We start from the raw sequence: 17737 nt of genomic DNA on the forward strand, positions 1-17737 counted from the left end.
TAATCTCCTGAAAATATAATCGGAAAAGGAGACGGCATTCATGGCGATGACAACATCCAAACCCAAATTTAAAATATCATAATGTATTAAAAATGTTTTCTGCAAAGAAAACATTTTGAGTCCTCTTCCGACTACTGCTGTTACTACTACAGCTAGTAGTTGTTGGTGGTAGTGCTGGTGTTACCCAACAGTTATAACATCAACCCTAGAAGAAGTGCTTTTTGTGTACCTATTATCTCATTGTGTTTTCATTGTTTCCATTTTGCAGCTAAGGAGTCCTTTCAAGGGCAAGTGATTTTTGTCCTGAGCCTCCCAGCTGGTGATTGGTAGTGCCAAGGCCCCAAGTCCATCAGCCAGACTCTAGGCAGAGTGTCCCACCCTCATAATCTTGACACCAGGGAGGGGCAAACTGTAGTCTGCCTCCTATTTTTTATAAATACATTTTTGTTGGAACATGATCCTACTCATTTATTTGTATCATCTACAGCTTTTTTTGGACCACAAGGGCAGAGCTGAGTCTTTGTGACAGAGAATATATGGCCCCACAAAGCTTAATTTACTCTCTGTCCCTTTACAGGAAAAGTTTGGCCGTCTCTGCCCTACACTGCTCTGGGACTCATATCTAAATCAATGGGGACCCAACCACATTTGTGGAAGAAAAGATGGAATAGTATAAAGATGTCACTTCTTGTAAAGCAGTACCCAGGAAATCCCAGTGGGAATATGTTTTTGCACAAATGAGATGGTGGGAGACATTTTATTAAATTATTCTAAAGTTTATTTGGAAGAGGGCCGGGTGTAGTGGCTCACTCCTGTAATCCCAGCATTTTGGGAGGCTGAGGCATGTGGATCACTTGAGGTCAGGAGTTTGAGACCAGCCTGGCCAGCATGGTGAAACCCTGTCTCTACTAAAAAAAAAAATACAAAAAATATTAGCCAGATATGGTGGCACATGCCTGTAATCCCAGTTAGGAGGCTGAGGCAGGAGAATCCCTTGAACTTAGGAGGCAGAGGTTGCAGTGAGCCAAGATCATGCCACTGTGCTCTAGCCTGGGTGAAAGAGTGAGACTTTGTCTCCAAAAAAAAAAAAAAAAATGATAATAATAAAGTTTATTTGGAAGAAAAAAAAGGTAAAAATAACTGATGGGACTTTGAAATAGAATAGTGCATAGAAGCCAGACCTTCCATGTAGTCCAACACAGCAGAACTATCATGGTTAAATAAAGGTTGATATTGTGGTAAATATAGGCAAACTAATGACACAGAACAGCCCCGATTCAGACCCTAGTGTCTGTACACATTTAAAAATGCATTAAGATGACATCACATGAGTCAGAAGGGGACAAATTGTTCAGGAATTCATGCAGGAGTAATTGCTCATCTGTTTGCTAGTTAATTTTGTAACATCCCTCCCCGAGAAGCAAAATAAATTCTTTGTACATTAATGTCAGTCCACAAACCTTTTATTTTTAAGTAAAGGAAAATAGATGTGAATGTTTATTGAATTTGTCATCAAGGGAGGCCTTTCTGTGCATCAAGGGGAAATGACAAAGGAAAGATTGATATGATTAAATAATTGAGACTTTATCAAATTACCAAATGGATTAGTGCAAGCAAGCACAGAGTGGGGGAGATATTTGCAGCCGACCTGCTGAGATTTTAGGATGTAATTGAGCAGAAGGTGCAAAATGATAATCCACAAGGTAGGACATAAGAAGTAGTTGCTACTTGGCCGGGTGTGGTGGCTCACACTTGTGATCCCAGCAGTTTCGGAGGCCGAGGCGGGCAGATCACTTGAGGTCAGGGGTTTGAGACCAGCCTGGCCAACATGGTGAAAACCCGTCTCTAATAAAATACAAAAATTAGCCAGGTGTGGTGGCGCACACCTGTGGTCCCAGCTACTAGGGAGGTGGAGGCGGCAGTGAGCCAAGATCGTGCCACTGCATTCCAGCCTGGGCGACAGAGCGAGACTCTGTCTCCAAAAAAAAAAAGTAGTAGTTGATACTTGAACTATTTCTGACTAATGGTCAAAGGAGGGTGGATTGAAATGTTGAAAGCGGGTGAATCGAGACATTGACGGCCCATCCCCTCGTTGTCAGATAAGCAAGGCTTTTCTTGACCTGCTAGTTAGGGGTGAGAACTGGACACCCGCCGCTGTTGAGAGGATGGATTGTCACAGTCTTCCAGGACTGCTTTTGGCAACCCTTCCTACTCTACTTGAAAGCAGTCCTAAGAAAATAACCCAAAATATGGAGTATGATTAGATACAAAGATGATCACTGCTGTGCCACTTACACTAGCAAAAATGTGGCAGTCTTGCTGGGAGGAGCAGGGTCAGGGTGGTGCTCCCTCTGCAGAGTTGCAGTTGGGGCCTGATGGGTCTGGTTGGGCCCCACTCCTTGACCTTGTCCCTCCTCACATCTTTCTAGCCAGTAGCCCATGTCTCCTACTTAGTGGAGTAATAAGGCCAGGAGAAATAGGTGTACCTTTATTTTCATGTAACGGCAAAATGACTTTCCCCAAATCACAGAGCTGGAGTTGGGAATCCTGGAGTTAGATCCACCAGGATTAGTACACAATTAGAGGTGCTCAGTCAAGTATCTGAGAGCGTCCAGAATCAGCTCAGCTGGCCTCCTTTTCACTTGCTCGTAGCATGGCCTTACAAAGTTGCAAAGACCTGCTGGAATCAAGGCCTCATATTTCAGAATAATAATGGGAATTCAGGCTGGGCACGGTGGCTCACACCTATACTCTCAGCACTTTGAGAGGCTGAGGCGGGTGGATCACCTGAGGTCAGGAGTTCAAGACCAGCCTGGCCAACATAGTGAAACCCTGTCTGTATTTAAAATACAAAAAAATAACTGGACATGGTGGTGGAGACCTGTAATCCCAGCTACTTGGGAGGCTGAGGCAGGAAATTGCCTGAACCCGGGTGGTGGGGGTTGCAGTGAGCCGAGATCGCATCACTGCACTCCAGCCTGGGTGACACAGTGAGACTCCATCTCGGGCGGTGGGGTGGGGGGTGAGAAGAATGGAAATTCATTTTATAAAAAGCGTTTTTGATTGTAGAAAAATCTTAGGAAAATTAAGAAAATTTTGAAGAGGAAAAGAGCTCTCCATACACTTGCTACCTAGAGATAAAGTTAGCATTCAGTGTGGAATTTACTCTTCTTTTTCTATAAAAGGTATTTTTTTGAAAACAAAGTAGAAGATTTTATTATACAATCTGTGGATTTAAATTTTTAAATATTATGTTGTATGGATTTTCCATTCTATTAAATAGCCTAAGAAGAATTGTAATGGCTGCACAGCTGTTTCTGGAGATTCGGTGCCCTCAAGCTCTGTGTGAGGAACTAGGTTGCTCCCATCTCCATGTCACCAAGCACTTTATCTACGTCTTTGATTTCCTAAAGACGGGTATATTGAGGGACAGTGGGAGGGGAGGAGGGACAGGAATTCTGTCCCCTCTCATTTTCTTAATAAATATTGGTCAAGGATGGATTTTTCATTGCTTTTTTGCTCTAGATATCTCGATTAGTAATTGATGGACATGTGAGCTCTTCAGTAAGGAAATTCATTCATTCATTCACAAATTGTACTCATTGCTTAGAGGCCAGATTCTTGATAAACTGGTGGTTAAAACTGCAGTTGCTCCCTTTCTTTGTGGCTGAAGGTCTGGCTGAGAGGCAGAGGCTAAAACAATAAACTAACGAGTGACACCTTGCAAAGTCATCTCTCCTAAGCGACGCCCTGAGGGCCCATCCACAGTTTGCATGCATGGGGTTGGCAGGTCAGGCATCCTGGGGTGTGTTGGCGCTTTTTCAGCAGATCCACTGGGTGGGCTTTGCTTTCTGCTTGTGGCTTTTTGCAACGACTGTGGCATCCTCATGGCTGCTTTGGCTTCAGGGCTCCACTCACGTCCTCACAGTATGAAATTCCTTGAGCCTCAGACATGGCATGTGTGTGTCACTAATGAGAACTGTTGGTAGAATCAGGAACAGTATTAAACCCTAGAAGCCGCCTCCCCCTCTCCAGCCTCTTCAGATCCAGCATTTTCATCAGGGAAAGCCCCTTTCAATAAAAGTGAGGCCTCAGTTTTCTCATCTGTAAGATGTATGTGTGGGGCTGGCTAGCTCTGCGGTTTTCAGAATGGCACCTAAGATGCACTTTAAAACATTCCTTTGAGTTAATGTGTACTAGAAAAGATCTATCAAGTTGTAAAAAGCGGGTTGATTGATAAAGAAGTATTAATAACAGTTGATTTTTTTTTAAAGAAGATGGTAAGTCAGTGAGTAGTGTTTGGAGGGCACAAATCCTTCCAGTGCCGAAGCTTTGCGGTCTTAAGTGGCAGGTGGGAGCCGGGAGTCTGAGTACAACCCTCTGGCCAGCCCCAGTCAAATGAATGGGCCTCTCTGCTTGCTGCTCTTAAAACGTCTTCAGAGATAGTTGCACTTTTTATTTCTGGTCACTGGCTGGGGACCAGAGCTTGGAAGTATTTCTGGTCTGGGCTGATCACAGGGTCCTGCTTCACAGCCTGTTTGCTGTCAGCCATCTGACACGGGCGGGCCAGCCTTCCCATGTGATTCAAGGGGGCTGACAGCAGCCCATTGCCACAAATGTCTGCCTAAACCCCAGGCTTGATGAGCACTTGACAGGTACACACTGGTGTGTCTGTGAGCTCTTCATGATTCTCAGCGGCAGGGTGAGGGCGGGGAAGGAAGATGTAGGTGAAGAGCTTTGACCCAGGAGCGCACTAGGGAAGCGAGCCAAGGTGTCTGCGGACTTCCAGTCCCATCCACACCCAGAAGACATGGTGGGGGCCCCCACCCCTCTCCTGTGGCATTGGTTTCATGTGTGTGTCTTTCCAGCTTAATGATAAGCAGCCGAGGGAAGGTCCGGGTCCTGCTTTCCCTTGTGTATTTACTGGTCCTGAATGCACGTGATGCTGAATTAATGTCTGAGCGCAACAGTCATCCGTGCCACAGATGGCACCAAGCACCAAGCTTCGGAGGCCCCCGCAGTCTGTGGGAGACAATCCAAGCTTGGGCTGGGCACTGCGCTCAATGCTGGAAAATTATAAAGACAGAGCAGCCAAGTCACCAGCTTTCAAGGAAACGAGTGTAGTTAGGGAACTAAGAAAAAATAACAAGCACGATGAACAGTGCGATGCCTGGGATAAAAGCAGTAAATGCCTAGAGATGATGACGGGTGTCCAGGAGAGCTAGGAAAAGAGGTGGACTTCCATTTGCAAAGGCAAAGGCACTGTTTCAGGGGGTCATTCTCCAATCGGTAGGTTTTGATGTTATAGAAATGGGGAGCCCTGTTGGGTCTTCAAGAAAGTGGGTGGGAAGAAAGGCACAAGGTCTGGAGATGTTTTGGAAGAAACAGTAGCTGTGTTTGGTGAGTGCATGGGATGTACGGAGGAAGGTGTGAAGAATCTGGAAAGCTTAGAATGTCTCCCACAGACTGTGGGGGCCTCTGAAGAGTCTGAAGTAATGGTTGCTTTGAATGCAAGGAGATTCTGGGATCTGTGCAGTGTGCTGAGAACAACCCTACAGAGGGGATGGGGGAGGGATGGGGCCAGGAATAGAGGAAGCAGAGGAGAGGGGAGGCAGGAAAGGGAGGAGGCCAGGTAAGAAGCTCAGGCCTTGAAGAGGGATTCACACGCCCTCCCCTCCTCTTCCTGACCTGTCGGGGGATCCCCAGCCTCAGATGTTCTCAGTCTGGCCAGTGAAAACATCTGGAATCATGACTCCAGCCGCGCTAGCCATCTCACTTTTTACAATAAAAACTGAGCAAGCAAGGAACACCTAGTGACGACTCATGGCCCTTGTTTTCCCCGCATCTCTGGAGTCTGAGTCACCAGCTTGGCACCCACAGTTAAGCCTTGAATGTGTGCAAGTTATAACCCGGTGTCTGGCACAGAGAACCTTAGCGCTCCTTCCCCTCCAGGTCTTCCATTCTTTTGTTGATTTGTCTCCAATACGGGTTCCCTCAAAACCAACTCTCTTCCATTTATTTCTGTCCCTAGTTTTGAGCACAGAGCCTCGTTGCTAGAGCCTGGCACTCCGTAGATGTTCACTAAGGTGACCTCTGTGCGTAGTCCCAGGTAGATGTGGCACCCAGGATATGCCCACCTTTCTCAAACTCAGACTGGAACGTGTGGTCCTGCCCTCGTTCCTCATTTTTTCACCCTGTGGCGTGGTCTTGGCTCTGAATAACCGCTGCTACCTCCTAAATTGAACTCAGTTGTTTAGGGAAATGCACCCAGAGGGGCACTGTGAGTGAGTCTGATCGGCTGGCGTGCCTGTCGGTGGCTGCCCATGCCTTCCGATGGGCCTTGCTGTTTTCTCCCCCAGGAAGAGGCAGCCCGCCCGAGCCCCAGGCAGCATGTTCCTCCTGTGCCCTGGGTGCATTAGGCGAGATCAGGCACGTTCAGGGTGATATGACGATAGACAGTGCTCCAGGAGCATTAGGAAAGGTTCTGCTGATCAGGCTTCTGTAACAGGCGGGGCATCTGCTAAGGTGGCGGGAAAGGTTTGGATTTCACTGCACCTGGGCTGGTCCTCGCCCTGAGTCGTAGCCTTGCATTCCCTGCCAAGCCACGCCCAGAAGCATCCTGGGAGGGACACCAGTCGGGTGTTGACTCTACTTGGGCTGTTGCCCAGACCAGTCGGATCAGGACTAGGAGGCAGATTTCCGTGATTTTGCCTTTGGAGTGAGAGAGGAGGCTGGGGTGTTAACCCCGTGGTCTCCTCGTGGTCCCATCAAGTGACTCTGTGAAAGCCAGGAGTCCCTCCCACCCACCCCAGGCCCCGAAGGCTTCTCCACTATAGCAACGGGGTCCAAAGCTCGGGGTGCTGGGTGTCAGGCCGTCAGTAACAGGAGGACCGACCTGCTGGGGCGGAATGTCTGTGGGTTTTAGGGTCCTCCGGAATGCACTCTTGCTCGCGGAGGGAGATGAGCAGATGTGATGAGTTTCCATCGACAGAGCTGGTGACAGAAATTACAGAGAGCAGGTGGAATCTCCCGCTTTTTGTTTTCTAACCCGGAGGAAATCTGATGAAATCAACATGATACTCCAGAAATTATCATCAAACATGGAGAATGAGTCATTCTAAACAGGGCACACAGGGAATTGGCAGGGGAGGAGCAAGGGCAGCATTTATGCCTCGATCCCCTCCAGGCCAGCTGCTTTCCTTCTGCAGCGTTCAGGTTCGTGGCCGCAGGAGAACGGAGGAGAACGTGAACAGTCTGTGCGCTCAGCCTGAGGTTTCCCTAAGACCTTCTCCGCCCCAGACATGCTCTCGTTAGGTTGGTTTTTCTGGATTGGTTTGTTCTCTAATTGTTCCTTGGGGTAGATCATTGGCAGAGGCCACAGGGAGAATATTCTGTGATCTGGAGTCTATGCGTGGCGTGACAGCAGCCGTAGCGGAGGGGGTGTGTGCGGCTTCTTGAGTTTGCCGCCGGAATCTGTCAGTGATTCCTTCTGTATGCAGTGATGTTGTCTGTTCAGACGCTGCCCTCTTGGTTCCTGGGGAGGAGCCAAGAGCAGCCTCTTTTGTCTCTGGATGAATCAGCCTTTGCACAGAAAAAGGAAAAACTTATCAGTTATGAGCTCAAATGCGCCTTCCTGTCTTCCTAGACCTGACCCCGGCTGGGAGGTGAAGAGGTGAGATGGAGCCTGCTCTTCTAGGGGGTCTTGAGATCCAGTGGTGGCTGTCCTGCCCAGGGTGGGCCCTGCAACTGCAGGCTGTCCTGGAGAAGTGACCACTGGGACCTGCTGAGTAGACGGTGGTCAAGCTTGTTGGGCTGTCCAGGTAAACCCGAGGTGCCCACCAAGGGAACCTGTTGGTGTTTTGAGAATGTGTGGCTTAGGTTTCAGGAACAGAGTAGAATTCCTAAATTCAGTCTCCTGAGTATAATCCTATCACATCAGCCATTTGGCTCCCTTAAAGATTATCCCAGAGATACCTACCGAGTTACCTCTGAAACAGTCATCTTTGTTGAAACCGAATTCGTTCATTCATTCGGGTTTGAGAGCCAACCATGCACATGACAGGAGCAGAAAAAGACAAACAGATGGTCTTATGTCCTGGGAATGCTCAGATTCTCATGGAGAAATTGGGCCAGGGACAAGTCTGTGCATGGTGTGTCTAGCGGTGGTAAAGGGCAGAGAAAGAGGATGGGGTGAGGGCCGGTTGTGTTGACATTTGAGCAAAGACCTGAATGAAGTGAGGGGATGAGAGCATCTCGTGTCTAGGCTGGGGCCTTCTGGGCTGAGAGCACTGCATGTGCAAAGGCCCCGTGGTGGGAGGGGCTTGGTACCTGGGGAACTTCATGGAGACCAGAAGAGTCAAGTGGAGGAAGGCAGAGAACAGCAGGAAATGGGACAGGGGCTGATGATGTTGGGCTTCTAGGGCACTGGAAGCTGCTGATGAGAGCCCAGGAGCCTTTGGAGGGTTTCAAACAGAGTCTGGAGGGTGTCTGACTGACTTTTCAAAATGTTCCGGCTGCTAATTGAGGGGTGGACTCCAGGCCGCAGGCAGGCCTGCTGGAGAGGAGCTGATGACTGTAATTGCATCGAGAGATGACGGTGGTGTGGATGTGCTGGGGAGAGGTCAGCCAGAGGTTGTGTTCTGCAGGTGGAGCCACCAGGAGTGCATGAGAGAGGGACGGGGCAGGGAAGACGGAGAGGGATGCTGGGCTTCTTGGATGGCTGGATGGAGCTGCCGTGCATGGCTGAGATGGGTGAGGCCAGGGGCAGGGGTTTGGGGCAAGCTCCAGAGTTGGCTTTGGATCCAGGAAATTCAAGATGCACCTTAGGTACTGAAGGGAGCGCTTGGTGGGCAGGTGGGTGTCTGAGTCTGAGGTTCAGGAACCACTTGTTAAAAGAATGGGAATGCAGCCATGTCCACCTGTGCTTTGAGGGGGCTCAGGCTGCCTGGGCATTTGAGTTGGTGGCTCCTTAGCAGTTTTCCTAGCCAAGGGGAGATAGCCACACCCACAAACACACCATTCTCTCTCATGGCACGTGCCTGGGAAGGTAGCTAATGTATGTTTCCTAATATTTTCTAATCTTAAAAATGTTTTATTGTGCACATTTTCATACAAGTACATAATTTTAGGAAAGATAGCATAATGAACCTTCGGGAGCTCATTATAAAGTCAATCACAGCATTGTGCCTTTTACTCCTTTTCTAATAAAGCAAGGACCAGTTCACGGGTGCGGCACTCGGGATGGGCGAGTCGGATCTGAGGCTCTGGGCCGTGGGCTCTGGGCTACCTGTGCTCCACAGTCCATGCACTGATGGGTCACTCTAGGACCTCACAGGGCTGGGAATCAGCGGAGCTAAGAGATGAGGAGAGAGAAGATGGGCTTCCTGGAAGCTTGGGTGAGGTTGAAGGAACAATGCAGAGGTGGACGGTGTTGGGCCAGCTGGAGACACAGCAAGTTCCAGCGAATGTGGCCAGTGATTGATTGAAGGGTTGAGATCGGCAATATGTAACCCTGGAGGTACAGGTGGAGACTGAGTAGTGGGGGTCTTTTCATCTCAGGCCAGGGGAGAGCAGACTGATTTTTTTAAAAGCGGTGAGCACTGTCCAGAAGTGTTGTAGCAGGGCAGCAGCATGGCTTTGAGAAAATCAAGGGCTCACCAGAGGTGGATGGTGAGGAGCTTGAGGAGCTCCAGGGGCCCAGCAGCCACTGGCAGCGAAGGCCTGAGCAACTCTGGGCGTGGGAAGAAATAGTTAGCAAGACTGGGAGCAGAGAGTGTTTTGTCAGGCTCACATCTTGGCTGCGTTACCCTGGGCAAGTTGCTTTAGTGATCTCTCCAAGCCCGTTTTCATGGAATCTGTAAAGTGCAGCCAAGTCTGGTACCTGCTGCCTAGGGCCCTTGAGGACGCAGTGGGATGGTGCCTGGTGGAGCTATGAGCGCAGCCTGTGCTGTAAGGGGAGGACACATAACCGTCAGCGTCCACGTCTGTTGTTAGATGCCGTTAGAATCCATCGGGGGAAGTGGGTGATCCAGGGGAGATTGAGAGGTTATCACCCAGAGGTGGCCAGTGAGCGTGGCCACACCAGGCTGAGCTGGGAGGAGGAGGAGGGGTGGGAGGGGAGAGGATTCTGCTGTAGGAAAGAGGACAGAGCTGACATCCCAGTGAGGAGCACACAGGGCAGCCCTGGGATGCTGGCTGCATTCTCCATCCCGTGCCAGCCCCCTGTAGATGCAGTGGTGTCTGGAGGAGCAGAGCTTCCCTTTCAGCCCTCGGTGTGACTCCACCTGCTCAGGAAGGTTTTGGGAGTGGAGAGCCCTCTGCACTCAGTCCACACCAGGGCTGGCTGCCCTCTTTCTGTACTGTAAAAACGGCCCCAAGGGTGCGGACAGGGGGCACCTCTGTTACTCACCCCTGAATGTCTGGATGGGTGTTACAGCTACACTCAAGGATGGCCTCCCTCTGGCCCTGGGGAGGAAGCTGTCAGTCTGGGGATTTACAGAGCATTGAGGACCACAGGACACACGTCTCCCACCTGCTATGTGGAGGGGAGGGCTGCCTGTGAGTGAGCTCAGTGGTGCCCGTGGGAACATGATGGCTTCTGGGCCCTGGGAGTGGGACTTCCCTGCTTGGCTTCTCTCGGCCTGAAAAGGGGAGAGGGTGGCAGAGTCCACAGTTGTTGACTCGTCTTCCTTGAATGGTTTCCTCTATGGGGAGAGGACTGCAGATCTCTTTCTAGAACTGCAAACACTTTAGCTTTTTGTCTCATCACTGGTTCAGGGGAGTGGCCATACCCCATCATCAATAATAAACACACACACTGGTGCATCTCCAGAAAGCACGTGTGCAGTTCTGTGACTTCTTTCTTCTGCTCCCAGGGCGCTGGAGGCCATATGTCAGTAGTTTTCAAAGAAAACGACATTGCTGCTTCCATCTTGCCCTTTTCTACAGCCAGAGTTCTCCTCCTCAATCGGAAAGCTGCAGTGGCTTCCCAGGGTCTCCTGGACAAGACTGACCCTTCACCACCGCGTTCCGCCAGCTTACCTGGCCTCCCGCCTTTGCTGTGGGCTCCACCACAGCCCCTCCATCCCTCTAGCCCCTCCACACTTGCAGGGCCAGGTCTTCACTGTGCCCACCTGTTCTTAGGCCTTCCACAGGCCTCTGGGCCTCCTCCTTCTCACTGAACACTCACTGGCATCTCACCCTCTATGGGCAGCTCTCTGGGCCCCACTAGGTGGCCAGTCGTGCTCTCCAGGTAACAGTTCCTGTTACCGCCCTAGGCCCCACCAGGGCTGGCGATGCCCTGAGCAGCCTGCGTGGAGCCCCAGATGCCTGATGCCCATCTCTGCTGACAGCTTTGCAGAGCCAGGACATGCCTGGAAGCTTTTGGGAATGCCTCCCTCTTGTGCCCAGATGGACTTTTTGTTAACCCTCCATGAAATAATTCCTCCTGGCATGAATGTGAAACCAGGCAATGCTATAGTCATGAGGCGGCGCGGTGGCCGAGGTGGCCGAGGCAACCCTTTCCCTTCTGCAGGAGAGTTGTGGGCCCAGTGGGAAGAGCACACATTGGTGATTAACAGGAGTCTTCGTTTGGCCACTGTGACCCAGAGCCTCACCCGGCGCAGTCCTCGGAGTAGCTCTGGACTGGTGGGGGTGGGAGCACCCCAGTCCCTGACAGGATGGGCAGGTGGGCTCCAGTTGCCCTCACAGCTGACACCCCCTGATTTTTCCTCCTCCTCGGGTGCAGTCAGATGGAGACTCTCAGGCAGGAACTGTCACCGTCACACGTGAAAGGCCACATGGCAAGTACCAGTTGTGGGCTGGAGATTGTCCTGAAGCTCCTCCCCTCACCCACTCATGGGTCTCTTCATTTTCTTTCTGCATCGATTCTCTTCAGTAAATGATCCCGCATTTTTGTATGGGAAGGATTTTTACTCCTCACTCAGCCTATTGAAGTCAGGCTGCTCTGGAGGTGGCCATCACTGGGGTCTCCACAGTGGCCTCCAAGCAGCCCGGGGGCTTGCACACGTGGCCCTTGCATTTCGGGGCTGCCGGGCTGCCTGGCTGTGGTAGGGTGGTCTCTCACGTGGCGGCAAGACCCCTTCATCCAGCTCTACACGCAGGCTGTGCATTCAGAGCTACTTGGTCACTGCTTCTGGTAGGGGGCGAGGGTGCTGTGCCGTCAGCGCTGAGCCTCAGCGTGCCAGACCCCAGCAGAGGGGTGGAGTGTGGGGTGGAAGGAGGCCTCCTCCTGGCATGAGCACCGTCACTGCCAGCCAGGGAGTCTCGGTCCAGGGCGTCCGGGGTTCTCCCCAAGGCGTAGTTCTCAGGGGCCGGGAATAGGGAATAAGCACACAGACCTGACCGTCGTAACTTCATGGGGAAAGATGGAAACATCTGTGACCACCCAGTTTGGGGAGAACAGCTTCATTCCTTCCTGTGAATAACTGGCCTGGGTGAGTGCTGGCCTCCACTCTGCCCCTCCTTACACTGCTGGGTAGGAGAGACGGCGGGGCTGGGCTCAGGTAGGTGTTTTTTAAGGGAAGGGCCCCCAGCAGGGCAGCTCTGCCGCTCCCCAGAGAGGTGGCCACCATGCCCTCCTCTCCTGCCGCCTGCTGCATTCAAGCACCACAGCCCCGGTGGCCCAGCAAGGGAGGCTCATCTCTCACGGTTCCAGAGGCCGGAAGTCAAAAGTCAAGGCTCTGGCCAACTCTGTTCCTAGGAGGGCCCTCTTCCTGGCTTCATGTGTCCTCACGTGGTAGAGGGAGAGAGAACGGAAGCTCTCTGGTGTCTCAAATAAAGGCGCTGATCTGATCATGAGGACCCCACCTTCATGATCTCTTCTAACTCTAACTACTCCCCACTGCCCCACCTGCCAGTGCCATCACATTAGGGGACAGACCTTCAACATAGGAGTTTCGGGAAACACAGTTCAGTCCGTAACACATGCCTTCTCTCCAGACAGCGTTCAGGTGCAGAATGCAGCCTTCTGAGGCCTTGAGATGGAAAGGACGCCTCCCTTGAGCCACTATCCGCCGGTCACTGGGAGCTGGGATTGCAGCTTCTGATGCAGTGGTGACAGTGGCTGAGACTTGGCAGGGTTAAATATTGAACACAAGATGGTCCCTATAGCAGCATGTGGACACACGCCTTGCTCTGCTCACTGCACAGGGGCTCTCCAAGCCATGCTCACTGCACATGGAGCCTGGGGGAAGAGTGGGGATGGTCAGGGCTCCCACCCGGCTGCTGCAGAAACGTTGCAAAGGGTGGTGTCAGGGCCTCCGGGTCTCTGCATGGTAAAGGCAGCACACTGGGTCAGAAGCTACATTCTCAGCTGTCCCTGGATAGAGGAATTGAGGAAAAAGGGACCTCAGACCATTGTATATGTGCCCAGTTATATAGGGGTGAGATTTGCCTGCTCAGAGCTCTAAGTACTGTGGCCAGCTGTGAAAGTGTCTGCCAGTTTCTCTTGGAGAGCACATGAAATTCACTGCTTTGAAATCGGCTCGCTGCTGTTCCTGTCCCTTCTCCCTGGACCCTGCTGAAGGGCCTGCTCAGAGCCAGTCACCTCATTCATATCCAGAACCCCCCACATGCTTCAGTCCTGTCTGTGCGCCCTTCCAGAAAAAAAAAGCAGAGGCCTTAGGGGTGATTCTTGTGGTCTCTTCCACGGAAAGATCTTTCCTGCTTAGTAACAGTGGTTCAGTAAATATGCCCTGGTTTCATCTGCATACGTTGCATTGAGAATACCTTATGGCCGCTCTGTGTTGTGTTTAGAATTGTTTATTTGGGGTGCAGGGGGATTTCAGGAGCGGATTGGGTAGGGAGCATCACCCTTGGGGCCTCTGCTGGGCTGTGTTCATTGATGGCTGCTTCCCGGGGCCGAGTCACCATGATGACTGCCCCTGCGCTGGGATCAGCCACTCTGAACAAGCAGAGGCCGATTTTTCCTTTTCCGAGCCCTGCAGCTAGCAGCATGAACTGTACAGTCCTGCGCTGTCCTCCTCTTTGACTGTAATGAATGGACTGGCCAGGTGCTGGAGCACATTTCGCAAACACCCTTACGCCCCTAAGAAGAGCAGGTGCAAACAGCCGGCCAGAAAACACTGCTTGGGCTGTGTGTGCCCAGTGTGCCAATGAGACAAGCACAAAGTGGGCACAGAGGCCAAGGAGCAAGCGCTGCTCTGCTCTGTTGGGCCAGGAAAGATGAAATGGGTCTGTCCTCATTAGAACAGCCTGGAAGAAAGAGGATTCCCACTTCCCATAAAATTACCATTGAACCCATGTTTCGCTTGCTTAAGGGACTTTTTTGTTCCTCCTCTACTTTCAGGAAGAAACATATTGCCGAGTGGATGCCGCCGCGCAGCGTGTTTGCTTGAGGCAGAAGCTTCAGCATCTGCTGGGATAACTGGAGGAAGAAATATGAAGCCTTAGCGGCTTTACCCGGGAAGCGAGTTTCGAGATGGCGGCTCAGCGGATCCGAGCGGCCAACTCCAATGGCCTCCCTCGCTGCAAGTCAGAGGGGACCCTGATTGACCTGAGCGAAGGGTTTTCAGAGACGAGCTTTAATGACATCAAAGGTGAGCTTCTGGGGAACAGGACTGTGGCTAAGGGAGAACGTTGGGATTTTCAAGTTGGGATCCAAGAACTTTTCTGCTTTAAAGATTGCCAGTTTAGCATTCAGATAGTTAAAGTTTAGTTCTTTAAACTTCATCATGGTAATAGATTTAGCCCTGGAATCATAGTCACTTGTCTTATTTTTTGGTTCCCCCTTATTAGTGAAACCCCTTCTTAATACAGGGTATGTTTCTTTTTACTTGATAAAATTCGGTGACAGTGTGGTAGGGAGCTTGGTGGTACAGAAACCCAGGGGAACAGAGAGTGTGGCAAGTAGATGAAATATTGAGAACCACTAGAGAAGAAAAAAGGTAGCTTCGGGGAGAGGTCAGCAAACCTTTTCTCCAAACAGTCTGATGGGAAATATTTGAAGCTTTGCAGGCCGTATACCATCTCTGTCACAACTATTCATTGCTGCCTCGTTGCATGAAAGCATCCATGAAGTTAAGTCATTAAATAGCCAGAGTCGTGTTTCCAAGACAACTTTTTTTTTGCAGACAGCCCCATTTGGCCCCAGGGCCGTGCTTTACCAACCCCTGATCTAGAAGGTGGTTCTAAAGTTTAATAACCCTGGGTCTCTGGGTTTCTCCAGTGGCCTCGTAAAATTGAGTTCATGAGAAAACCTATCTTTTGGACACCAAGGTGAATACTAGCAGGTCATTTTCTTCCTGCACATCTGCCCTAACCTAGGCCACGTTCAGTCTCTCTCACATGCTCCTTTGGGGCTTGGCAGTTGCGGTGACAGCACCATCATCATCAATATCATCATCCCTTGGCTTTCTCTTAGCTGTTGAAACTGTCTTGCCTGGAGCACAGCTGAAAAGTAGGAACTTGACTTTGACCATTTGTATCCTCGGCCCCAGCCTAAAGTCAGTGCTAAGTAAATGTTTCTTGAACTAAACTGCTATCCCCCAGATAAAGTTGTAATCCTCTACCCTGATGTACAAAAATTATATGCACTGTGTTTATGTCTGTCTAATTGAGTAGCTTCTCCTTCCCCTTTATCCCAAACATCTTCTCCCTGCCTCTGATTGATGCTGGCATCCCTGGGCATTGCTGTAAATGTTCTTTAAAAGAAACGTCTAGCCCGTGTGAGATTTTATTTGTAAGAGAGCAACAGTGATTGGGTGTTGCCATAAATAACTGAAGCATTTATTTTTCAGATTCTGTTAATGGACATTTTGTTTTTTACTTTATAGCCCAACTCATCAGAGTCAAAGCTGGAACTTGTGAGCATAAATTGTGTGATTTGGGCAGAGTGTTAAAGTGAGGAGGGCAGAGTCTTAAAGTGAGGTGAATTTTTAAAAATGTCAGTGGGCTGGGCGCGGTGGCTCACGCCTGTAATCCCAGCACTTTAGGAGGCCGAGGCAGGCGGATCACGAGGTCAGGAGTTCGAGACCAGCCTGGCCAACATGGTGAAACCCCGTCTCTACTAAAAATACAAAAAATTAGCCAGGCATGGTGGAGCGTGCCTGTAATCCCAGCTACTCAGGAGGCTGAGGCAGGAGAATCACTTGAACCCAGGAGGCAGAGGTTGCAGTGAGCCGAGATCACACCACTGCACTCTGAGACTCTATATAAAAAATAATAATAATAATAATGACAGTGCTCTGGAGGAAATATTGGCTGTTATCCCTAAAAGAATCCCTAATTTAGAGGAGGAAGACAAACAAGACAGCCTTGAACGTGAGGAGGAGGACAGCCTCAAACATGAAGGGGAGGGTGTTTTGAGAATCTGAGGTGGACAGAACCATGGGATCTCTGGCCTTGCCCAGAGATTCTGGGGAATCTACCTCCGAGGCGCCACATGTGACCCAGGCAGTTTGCTAGCCAGAAGCTTCACGCACATCCCAGTGATAGACAGACTTCAAGGTGGGAATTTATTTCAGCCAAAGTATCTGCCATGAAACCTTCTACTCTGATGAATGTTTTGCCTGCAGAAGAACGTAGGCAGACGGATAGGAAATGTATTATTCAGTACATTGAACTTCCTAACACCCAGGGAGATTTTTGTATTAAAATCAAGGTGGCTGTGAATCTGGGTAACACTCCTCAGAATTCATTAAGATAGAATTCGTTAGGGATTCTCTGGCATTTGATGGGATGGAAGCCCTTCCCCAGTGTCCCCAGCTGCTTGGTGGCAGTTGACTGATGGAGGGCCTCATCTAGAAGGGGGAATCACACAACAGTCCACCTCCCTAGGGTTCTGGAAAGGAAGAGTGGGGTGATTTCCCTTGGCTAAGCCTGATCCCTTGAGTGAGATCTGTGACCATTTCTCTTCCAAGGAGAGTGCTGGGAATTTTAAGTAAAACCATTCTTATTCTTCAGTTGGATAAAACTGAATGATAATTCTCATTGATACATTCTAGGCTATGCACAAAGCATTCTTGATTGCTTTGGTTTCTTAATTTTGAAACTACTGTAAGGGAATTATTCTGAGGGAGCATAATAAGGACATAACCTTTGAGGGATTCTAGCAAGATTTTGATGGCCGGCAAGCTCTATTTAATTTTCATTTAGTTTTCATCTTTATGTGACATTTCCAGTAGATTGTGTCAAGGAGATAAAATGGTTTATATTCCTGGAGATCATGACTAGCAAAACAGAAATGAGAGAGAAGAGCTTCTGTATCCTCTGGCCTCAGCCTGACCCACATCAATTCTTCCCACCTCTCCATGAAAGCCATTTTCTTTCACAGGTTTTGGTTCACTCCCATCTCATATTAAATAATTTGTTGGTTTTATGATTTTTTTAGAGCACAAGGGCACAGCCAGGGGGAATTCAGACACTGCTTTCACCAACACCAGGATCCAATAGCATAGATTATGGCTTCTCTGTGTCGTTTACGCATGCACGATGATCATTCATTCCACAAATACTCATTGAGTCCCCGCTACGCGCCAGGCCTTGTACGAGGCCCAGGGATACAACAGCAAACAAAACAGGCTCTAATGGTGCTGATACCCTAATGGGGAGATGGAGGCTCCTCCTGCAAAAGAAACACACATACACACACACATACACATATTTCATATATATATACACATATATATAATATATATATAAAGGATATATGTATTTTATATATATATTATATATAATATATATTATATATAATATA

At 49.8% G+C, this 17737-nt stretch overlaps 1 protein-coding gene across 11 annotated transcripts in view, besides 1 other annotated feature; it reads left to right on the top strand.

The window, feature by feature from the left end:
• SH3BP4 (SH3 domain binding protein 4) overlaps positions 1-17737 on the top strand; it is a 103698-nt gene that overhangs the window by 68525 nt on the left and 17436 nt on the right. For 9 of the 11 annotated variants that reach the window (XM_047443849.1, NM_014521.3, NM_001371302.1 and 6 more), the window contains one exon: positions 14330-14579. In XM_047443849.1, coding sequence (XP_047299805.1) covers positions 14462-14579 — 118 coding nt within the window. In that variant the 5' untranslated portion in view covers positions 14330-14461. Of the gene's footprint in view, positions 1-7193; positions 7315-14329; positions 14580-17737 lie in introns of those variants that run through there. The other 2 variants (NM_001371306.1, NM_001371304.1) reach the window with 2 other exon arrangements.
• Positions 10619-11247: an enhancer, noted in NCBI's record as "H3K4me1 hESC enhancer chr2:235939804-235940432 (GRCh37/hg19 assembly coordinates)". NCBI's record gives its function as "activates a minimal SCP1, AML or CMV promoter by ChIP-STARR-seq in naive H9 embryonic stem cells {active_cell/tissue: H9 hESC(naive)}" and the evidence as "EXISTENCE:reporter gene assay evidence [ECO:0000049][PMID:30033119]".

The sequence above is a fragment of the Homo sapiens genome, chromosome 2, assembly GCF_000001405.40.
Source record: "Homo sapiens chromosome 2, GRCh38.p14 Primary Assembly".
In the NCBI taxonomy this organism is placed as follows: Eukaryota; Metazoa; Chordata; class Mammalia; order Primates; family Hominidae; genus Homo; species Homo sapiens.